This window comes from Homo sapiens, chromosome 8, assembly GCF_000001405.40.
Source record: "Homo sapiens chromosome 8, GRCh38.p14 Primary Assembly".
In the NCBI taxonomy this organism is placed as follows: Eukaryota; Metazoa; Chordata; class Mammalia; order Primates; family Hominidae; genus Homo; species Homo sapiens.
Genome location: NC_000008.11, coordinates 141089784 through 141099789, shown reverse-complemented (window position 1 = coordinate 141099789; position 10006 = coordinate 141089784). Strand labels below are relative to the sequence as shown.

General features: G+C 50.7%; 3 annotated features.

Moving 5' to 3' along the window:
* Positions 3764-4763: an enhancer, noted in NCBI's record as "H3K27ac-H3K4me1 hESC enhancer chr8:142105126-142106125 (GRCh37/hg19 assembly coordinates)". NCBI's record gives its function as "activates a minimal SCP1, AML or CMV promoter by ChIP-STARR-seq in primed H9 embryonic stem cells {active_cell/tissue: H9 hESC(primed)}" and the evidence as "EXISTENCE:reporter gene assay evidence [ECO:0000049][PMID:30033119]".
* Positions 5009-5242: a silencer, noted in NCBI's record as "fragment chr8:142104647-142104880 (GRCh37/hg19 assembly coordinates)". NCBI's record gives its function as "represses an EF-1alpha promoter that drives an FKBP-Casp9 reporter gene in an ReSE screen in both phorbol 12-myristate 13-acetate-treated (for megakaryocytic differentiation) and untreated K562 erythroleukemia cells {active_cell/tissue: K562 | K562(+PMA)}" and the evidence as "EXISTENCE:reporter gene assay evidence [ECO:0000049][PMID:32094911]".
* Positions 9859-9988: an enhancer, noted in NCBI's record as "active region_28041". NCBI's record gives its function as "activates an Ori minimal core promoter by ATAC-STARR-seq in GM12878 lymphoblastoid cells {active_cell/tissue: GM12878}" and the evidence as "EXISTENCE:reporter gene assay evidence [ECO:0000049][PMID:35858748]".

Below are 10006 nucleotides of genomic sequence, written 5' to 3'. Positions count from 1 at the left end.
TTGGGCACCCCTGGAGTAGACAGTTGGGTATTTCAGCCCCAATCCCGCTTCTCTGGGGAGTGAAGTCGGGGCAGAAGGCTGTGTTGATCACTGATGGCCAATGATGTAATCAGTCATGCCTACTTAAGGAAGCCCCTCAAAACCTCAAAAGGACACGGTTCAGGGAGCCCCCAGATAGCTGAACACACACAAGTGCCTGGAGGTGGTGCTGGGAGGGCCTGGAAGCTCCACGCCCCTCCCCGTGCCTGCCCACACGTCTCCCCCACCTGCTGTGCATCCGCACCTTCGTCACCGCCTGTGTCATAAATGGGTAAACGCGGCTCAGAGTGTCCCTGAGTTCTGTGAGCCGCTCCAGCAATCCATCAGACCCGAGGAGGGGGTCGTGGGAACCCTGATTCATGGCAGGTCGGTCAGAAGCACAGGCCACACCTAAGGCTTGCGACTGGCATCAGAAGTGGAGGCTGTCACGTGAGACTGAGCCCTCCAGGTGGATGGTGTTGGAATTGAATTAAATGAGAGGACACCTGTTGGTATCAGCTAGGGAGAAGAATTGCTTGCTGGTGGACAGAAATCCCCACACACATTTTGATGAAGTATTCCGTGCTGAGTGGTAAATGATGTGTCTGAGAGTAGGAAAAAACCTGTTTGTTTTTTAATTCCAGATGCTGTCTTATTAATTCTCACAGCAGCTCTGGGGGTAGGTTTCATCATCCCTTTTTTTTTTTTTTTTTTTTCGCTCTGTTGCCCAGGCTGGAGTGCAGTGGCGCGATCTCGGCTCACTGCAAGCTCCGCCTCCTGGGTTCACGCCATTCTCCTGCCTCAGCCTCCCGAGTAGCTGGGACTACAGGCACCCGCCACCACGCCCAGCTAAGTTTTTGTATTTTTAGTAGAGACAGGGTTTCACCGTGTTAGCCAGGATGGTCTCGATCCCCTGACCTCGTGATCCACCCGCCTTGGCCTCCCAAAGTGCTGGGATTACAGGCGTGAGCCACCGTGCCTGGCCTCATCATCCCATTTTCTAGGGGAGGAGGCTGAGGTCAGGGAGGTAACACGGCTTGCCCGAGTCAGTAGCCAGGCCAGAACAGAAGGCCTCCTGACTCTGGTGTCCTTCCTGTCCTGGCCCAGCCACTCCAAAGGAGAAGAAGCTAGTGAAGGAAATGTTCTCTGCAATGGGACAGTGAGGAACAATTTGGGAGTAAGCAGGGCTTTCTGGCTCCCCTAAAGCTGCAGTGCCAGAACCTGTCTGTTCACAATGTCAACCAATCACCTGTTAAACGTTTAAACACTTAAACCCTCGGGGACTCAGTTTTCTCATCTGTAAAGTGGGTGGGGTGGGGGTGAGCTGCTGTCAGCCATCAAGACACCCCCAGCTCACCTCTGTGATTCTAGCAGTGTCCTCTCACCTGTTTTGTTTGTTTTTAAAACAATTCCATTAAAAAGTGAGCAAAGGATCTAAATAGACAAATAGACATCTCTCAGAAGAAGACACACAATGGCCAACAGGTATATGAAAAAAATGCTCAACATCACTATCATCAGGGAAATGCAAATCAAAACTGCAATGTGATATCATCTCACCCCAGCCAGAATGGCTGTTATTAAAAAGGCAAAAAATAACAGATGCTGGCAAGGATGTGGACAGAAAGGGATTCATCCACTGGTTGGTGGGAGCATAAATTAGTACAGCCATTATGGAAAACAGTAAGGAGATTTCTCAAAAAACTGAAAGTAGAACTACAAACCATCCAGCAATCCCACTACCAGGTATTTAAAGGAAAGAAAATCCATCTATTAAAGGGATGCTTGCACCCGCATAAACATCAACTGCAGCACTATTCACAACAGCAAAGATACGGACTCAACCGGAGTGTCACCAACAGATGAAAAGATAAAGAAAGGGCGGTATATTTACACAATGGAATATTATCCAGCCATAAAATGAGAATAAAATCCTGTCATTTGCAGCAACGTGGATGGAACTGGAGGTCACTGTGTTAAGTGAAATAAGCCAGGCACAGAAAGACAAATGTGGCACGTTCTCACTCGTACATGGGAGCCAAAAAAAGTGGATCTCATGAAGGTGGAGAGTAGAATGTTGGTTAACAGAGGCTGGGAAGGGAAAGGAGGGTGGGGGAATGAAGAGAGGTTGGCTAACGGTACAAACATACAGTTAGATAGGAGGAATAAGTTCTAACGTTGGATAGCAGAGTAGGGTGACTCTGGTTAACAACTACTGTATATTTCAAAATAGCTAGAAGAGAAGACTTGAAGTGTATCCAACACATACAAATGATGCATACTCAATGCTGGGCGCCAGTGGCTCATGCCTGTAATCCCAACACTTTGAGATGCTGAGGTGGGTGGATCACTTGAGGTCAGGAGTTCGAGACCAGCCTGGCCAGCATGGCAAAACCCCTTCTCTACAAAAAATACAAAGGGCATGATGGCAGGCACCTGTAATCCCAGCTACTCAGGAGGCAGAGGCAGGTGAGGCTCTTGAACCCAGGAGGCCGAGGCTGCAATGAGCCAAGATTGCACCATTGCATTCCAGCCTGGGCGACAGAGTGAGACTCCATCTCAAAAATAACAACAAAAAAAGGCCGAGTGCAGTGGCTCACGCCTGTAATCCCAGCACTTTGGGAGGCTGAGGCAGGTGGATCACGAGGTCAGGAGATCCAGACCATCCTGGCTAACACGGTGAAACCCCGTCTCTACTAAAAATACAAAAAATTAGCCGGGTGTGGTGGTGGGCGCCTGTAGTCCCAGCTACTCGGGAAGCTGAGGCAGGAGAATGGCGTGAACCCAGGAGGCAGAGCTTGCAGTGAGCTGAGATCGGGCCACTGCACTCCAACCTGGGCGACAGAGCGAGACTCCTTCTAAAAAATAAAAAATAAAAATAAAAATAAAAAATTCCCTTTCCTCCCCAACAAGGAGGGCAACATCAGAAGTGCTACCTGAGCCCCTGTACAGGCTGGGAGGGAAATATTTCTGTAGTTTGAGAACCTTCTGGATCAGGCAGGAGGCCTGTGGAAGCGAAAGAGGAAGCGTCCTTCTGTTTACCTCCCTCTGGTGGCGTCACACTTCCTTGCTTTGTGCATAACCTGCAGGCCGGCGGCCCACCCGTCCCCTGGGAGCACCTGGCTGGCTCAGAGGTCTCTGCAAAGCAGCGCAGAGCAGGCTTTGGCTGCTCCCCCAGAAGCAGGAGCCACTCCTCTGGAGCCCGTGGTGCTCTCACAAGCGTGTCTTTAGTCCGGCCACCCTTGGCAACGGCGGCACAGAGGTCAGCCATCAGTGGCCAGCACATCCCACGGGGTGTTCCTCGGTGCAGGAGAATCAGGGGTGGCTGCAGCCAGGTCTCGGAGTCCTCCGAGAGGGCAGGGAATTCCAGAAGGCACAGGTTCCAGCCCCAGTGCCTGGTTTGAGAACAGTGTCTTAAACAATAGAATTCTTTGTTTCAAAGAACGTTTTAGGCAAATCCAAGTGAAGCTGGGTGGGCGTGGGAGCTCAACCTTCCACGTCCCCTCCTCCTGCCCCTGGGACTTATAGAGGAACTCAGGGCCTTGGAAACATGGGGCTCCCAGGTCTGGAGCAGTGGGGCCTCCCTGCAGTCTCTCTTGAAACGGTTGATGGTAGCCACAAGGGTCATGAGAGTAGCAGTTCCCAGGATGTTCCGCTACGTACTCCACACCCGTCCTCTGGTTCACTCTGTCCAGGGTGCCCTGGGATGCAGGCTGACCATGTCACCCACCCCTCTGGCCTCTGCCCCTACCTGTGGGGTTTACAGAACTCAGTGGAGTGGCATAGACGCCGCAGGTGCTCAGAAAGGACACATGAGAGAAAGCTCTTAGGACAACGCAGGGGCTTAATAATGACATGCTCAAACGAGGGTCCCATCTACCCTGGGAGTAAGGACATCTGAGTTCTGGTCTGGCTCTGTCCATAACTAGCCTGGAACCCCCACCCCAGGGCCTCAGTCTCCCCACCAGTGAAATAAGAGCCTGCCCATGGGGCTCTGCGGGCCCTCCCGGCGCTGACACTGCAGCTCTGCCACCGTCAGACGCAGCTGGCTGGGCCGAGTAGCAGCCTGGGCCCGGGAAGGGCTGCTTCTGCCCTCCGTGTGGCTGTGGGCAAGGCACTTCCCTCCCAGCCCCAGGTTCCTCCTCGGTCTGGGGAGGGTGTGATCACGTGGTCAGACACCATCAGGCCTGGGACCATCCCGCACCCCGGCTCTGGCCACAGCCAGGGTCACAGGAACTCTCGAGAGAAGGAGCTCCAGCTGGGACAGCAGGCAGGTCTGCAGGAAGGCCCGAGGTCAGGCTGTGAGACCCAGGGTAAGGCTGGGCAGGAAGCAGACTCCTGTGAGGACCTCAGGCAGTGGCCATGCTGGCCTCTCACAGAACTAACACCTAAGGGCAGGAGGGAGCGTCTGCAAAGCTCAGACCCTCCAGGGAGTTTCAGGCTTTTCTCCATTTCTAATCTGTGCGTGGTTCTCGGATCCAGCAGTTCTCAGCTGGGGGAAATTTTGGGCCAGGTGCGGTGGCTCACACCTGTAATCCCAGTGCTTTGGGAGGCCGAGGCAGGCTGATCGCTTGAGGTCAGGAGTTCAAGAGCAGCCTGGCCAACATGGTGAAACCCCGTCTCTACTAAAAATACAAAAATTAGCTGGGCATGGTGGCAGGGGCCTGTAATCCCAGCTACTCGGGAGGCTGAAGCAGGAGACTTGCTTGAACCCTAGGGGCAGAGGTTGCAGTGAGCCGAGATCACACGACCGCACTCCAGCCCGGGCAAGAATGAGACTCCATCTCAAAAAAAAAAAAAAAAAAAAAAAATCAACTGGGGTAAATTTTGTTCCCAGGGAACATTTGGCAATTTCTCGAAATGCTTTTGATTGTCACAACTGTTCGGGGTCTGGGGGTGCCAAGTGGCATCAAATGCGTGGAGGCCTGGGATGTTGCTCAGCACCCTGCAGTGCACGGAACGGCCCCTCACCAGAGAATGATCCCCAGATGTCAATGTCAAGGTTGTGAAACCCTGGTCTACCCCAAATCCCGTCCACTCTCCGAAGCCCTGCTCCGATTCCACCTCCTCCAGGAAGACATCCCTGGTCCCCAGTGAGTCGTTAGTGACTCCATTGGCCTTGTATCAGGTTTTCTGATATTCTCATTATTTGTGGTAGCAGCACAGCTCTCATTTCTCACCTTTTCACGCAGCCTCAGAGAAACATACAAAACATGTGTGCACCTTAGTGATTATCACAAAGTGAATTCTTTTGAACCGCCTTCCAGGCCAAGAAAGAGAACTTTGTTGCCCCTGAGTCCCCTGAGGTACAATAACAGCCCTGCCTGCTGTTAAGCAACCAGTGTCCTAACTTTTAGGGAAATAGCCTCGTTGTGGGTTTTGTTTTACAGGCTTATCACCCAACCATCCTTCTCTAGATAATGTAGTTTAATCTTGACGTGGTAGACCATTTTTTTTTTTTTTGAGACTGAGTCTCACTTTGTCAGCCAGGCTGAAGTGCAGTGGCGCAATCTCAGCTCACTGCAACCTCCACCTCCCCGGTTCAAGCAATTCTCCTGCCTCAGCCTTCCAAGTAGCTAGGATTACAGGCGCACACCACCATGCCTGGCTAATTTTTGTATTTTTAGTAGATGTGGGGTTTCACCATGTTGACCAGGCTGGTCATAAACTCCTGACCTCAAGTGATCCACCCCCCCTTGGCCTCCCAAAGTGCTGGGATTACAGGCGTGAGCCACCACGCCCAGCCTTGTAGACATTTTTGACGTGCCTTTTGATAAGTCTCTAGTCACCTGCAGGCTGCGCCTCCCTCCCTGTCTTTTCCTCGCCGTTTCCTGCAGCCCGCATTGTGTTGCTTCAGGTTCACTCTGCTGTTTGACACCCTCCTCTGTCCTCTACGTTCTCTGCAAATTGGCAGCTGGGTCCAGAAGCTCCGTCAGGCTCCTGTTCAGTCCCTTGGCGAGCCCAAAGGTTGCCTTGTGTTCCCACTGCAGGGCACGGGAAGGCCAGCTTGTCTCTCCCCTGGTGACGTCAGTAGCTCTTGATGCTCCAGGCCCAGGCCCATTAATTCATCAGGGGCTGCAATGATGCAATTCTGACTCTAATGTTCCTGTTTTAGTTATTCTGTGGCACCCTCTTAGAAAGAGATGCTTCTTCTCATCTGCTGCTGGCTACCCAGTGGCACAGTTCAAATAAGAAATGGGGCTGGGCCAGCCATAGTGGCTCATGCCTGTAATCCCAACCCTTTGGGAGCCAAGGCAGGTGAATCACCTAAGGTCAGGAGTTCAAGACCAGCCTGGCCAATATGGCGAAACCCTGTCTCTACTAAAAATACAAAAATTAGCCAGGCGTGATAGCATGCACCTCTAGTCTCAGCTACTCAGGAGGCCGAGGCAGGAGGATCACTTGAACTGGGGAGGTGGAGGTTGCAGTGAGCTGAGATTGTGCCACTGTGCTCCAGTCTGGATGACAGAACAAAACTCCATTTCAAAAAAGAGAAAAAAGAAATGCACCTTCTCTTCTTTACCAGTTTTGGGAGAGTGACTTAGTTCCCTCTCACCTTCCACCATGGAACAATCAAGGTTTTCTTATTTAATAACACTACAAACACTTGGATTTAAACATATTTGAGGTCGCACGGGTGGCTCCCGCCTGTAATCCCAGCACTGTGGGAGGCCGAGGCGGGCAGATCACCTGAGGTCAGGAGTTCGAGACCAGCCTGGACAAAATGGTGAAACCTTGTCTCTACTAAAAATACAAAAAAATTAATTAGGCATGGTGGTGCACACCTGTAATCCCAGCTGCTTGGGAGGCTGAGGCAGGAGAATTGCTTGAACCCAGGAGGCAAAGGTTGCGGTGACCCAAGATCGTGCCACTGGACTCCAGCCTGGGCGAAAGAGCAAGACTCCGTCTCAAAATAAATAAATAAATAAACAAACAAACATTTGAAAGCTTCAATCAATGGCAATGACTATCCTTTTCCAAGCTCAAATGGTTTGATCTTTGCCCAGTGGATGCCTCTTAAGTTGGCGGCAGAAGCCTTGGAGGTGGCCCTGGTGGCTTTGACGGTTTCGTGCTATGCAATGTGTCAGGGTGGCTCCACTCATCTTGCATATTTCCTGCTCCAGACCTAGAATCAGCCATTGCTCCAAAAAGCCCTGGTTTCTTGCTGTAGGAGTTTGTATTTCAAGACCACAGTGTGGATTCTAGGGATGCTCATTGCTACTGGGTTGGTCTTTTTTTTCCTTTAAGACCTTTACAGTGGACAGAGCTAGGAAATATACCAACATTTTTTTAAAACATAAAAGGGCCTCATGAGTTCAAACTAATATTTCCAATTAGAATTCAGGACTAGAGTTTTGACTTAAACCCTACTATATTACATTTGCCATCTTCTTTCTTCCACACTTAGAATTCTGCTTCTCAGGAAAATGAATGTACACTGTCTCTCATAGTTGTTTATTTGCTCTTTTCCACTTTACACACTCAATGGTCTTAGAATAACAATAGTAAAATCCTAATGACAACCACCACTACTGCTACTAATACTCTACCAGCATTACTGAAAACAATTACATTGTTCTCATATGCTCTCCCCATTCTCCACCCAGTTTCCTTATCCCATCTGTATCTACACGGTCAGAAAATGTAGCCATCACACGCAAAACATAGGTCCTAATAAGGGAAAAGGAGTGAGGCTGGCAAAAAAAAAAAAAACTCAGATAAGCTATAAGTCTGCCTTTCTTCTTGATCCAGAACACATAGCCCTCCTGCACAAATAACTCACAACCTTCCCACACCTGACTCATCACCAGACCCTTGGCTGATAGAAAAATGCAAGTTAGCTCGCTGCAACCTTGGTGTTAGCGATACTTCACATGGCCCACTCCAGCACACAGCACGAGCACCGTCCTGCGAAATCCCCAGCAAGCCTCTGTCTCCTGGCAGTCAGCTCCTCTCTTGCTGATCTGCCCATTGCACCCTTGCAACGTCTTTCTTTTCTTTCTTTCTTTCTCTCTGTCTCTCTTTCTCTCTTTCTCTGTTTCTCTCCTTCTCTCCTTCTTTCCTTCTTTCTTTCGACAGAGTCTCACTGTCACCCAGGCTGGAGTGCAACAGTGCGATCTCGGATCACTGCAACATCCACCTCCCAGGTTCAAGTGATTCTTCTGCCTCAGCCTCCTGAGTAGATGAGACTACAGCCATGCACCACCATACCTGGCTAATTTTTTTGTATTTTTAGTAGAGACGGGGTTTCACCATGTTGCCCAAGCTGGTCTCAAACTCCTGACCTCAGGTAATCTGCCCACCTTGGCCTCCTAAAGTGCTAGGATTACAGGCGTGAGCCACTGCATCCTACCTTTTTTTTTTTTTTTTTTTTTTTGAGACGGAGTCTCGCTCTGTCGCCCAGGCTGGAGTGCAGTGGCGGGATCTCGGCTCACTGCAAGCTCCGCCTCCCGGGTTCACGTCATTCTCCTGCCTCAGCCTGCCAAGTAGCTGGGACTACAGGCGCCCGCCACTACGCCCGGCTAATTTTTTGTATTTTTAGTAGAGACGGGGTTTCACCGTTTTAGCCGGGATGGTCTCGATCTCCTGACCTCGTGATCCGCCCGCCTCGGCCTCCCAAAGTGCTGGGATTACAGGCGTGAGCCACCTACCTTTCATACTTCAATAAATCTGCCTTTCTTTACCTACAACTGTCTTGGTAAATTCCTTTACTTCCAGTGACACTGGCCCCAAGTAGTCGCTATCCAAGACACTATACTCTCCTTTTCAGCCTTGGTTTAGCCTTGGTTCCTTATCTAGTGCTTCCATTGAGGACTCTATTGGTTGCCTGAAGGTCATTCTCTGATAGGCTCCTTGGGCCCCTCAGACCCTGAGAACATTATTTCCTGAGTCCTTTGGGGCTGCTTTTTGTTTGTGCCTTTTATACTCCAAAGTCTGTTTTGCTGGGTGCATAGTACTTGGCTCACATTTTCTCTCGAGTATTTTAAGTACAGTATGTTTCTCCTTTTTCTTCTGGCAGAACGTGTTGTGGTTGAAAAGTCGCACGACAATCTAATTTTTATTTTAGTATAAGTCCCTCACTCTTTTAACCTGGACTCAAGGATTTTTTTTTTTTTTTTAGATTGGTAATTTTACTAGAACATGTTTTGATGTTGGTTACCCTGGGTCTGTCTTCTCAAATACATGGTGTACTCTTTCAATATGTAGTTCCAAATCTTTTTGTTTTAGGGAAGTTTTCTGAAGGTACAGATGTTTGTATTTATTCTGTTCTTTCCCTAGGGTCATCTCATGGGAAGAGATGTTAGTCTTGTCAAATGTTTTGTCACTGCCTAACTTGGGACCTCACTGTTCCTAGATGTCACCTCCTGCTGCTCCTGGCTCAGGGAAGGCAGCTTAGTCTCTCGGCAGAGCAGGCCACAGCCCCCAACACCCAGGCCAGCCCCCCAGCCAGCTGCTCCTGCAGCCAGACACCTCATTGTCCAACCACTGCCTGCGTCTGTGGGTCTACCTCACCCCCATCCAACATCCACAGGGCAGCCAGAGCCCCCAGGTCTCCCACCATGGTAAGAACACACCCAGCCCTAGAGGGGCAGGCAAGGCTCCCTGGGGGCACACCCTTGTCTCTATCTTCTTGTCTCCATCTTCCTCTCGTCTCCGTCTTCCTCTTGTCTTCTGGTCAGGTCAGTGCTGTTGCTGTGAGCGGGTTGAGGCTCTTGAGATGTGAACCACTGTGGGTTTCCCCCGGACTTCCTGCTACCCACAACCCTTCCCCCATCTGGGGTGAGTGGCCCGGGAAAGGGGTGGCAGAGCGATTCACGAAGAACAGAGGGGCTGAAATCGAGGCGGCAGCAGCAGAAACCCAGGCTCTGGCCATGCCCTGCCTGCCACCCAAGCCCACAGGGAGGGTGATACGAGGACAGACAGAGAGCCGGCCCCACCTCACTTTAGGCCAAGTCCCTTTCCAGGGTGGGGTGGGAATGACAGAAGC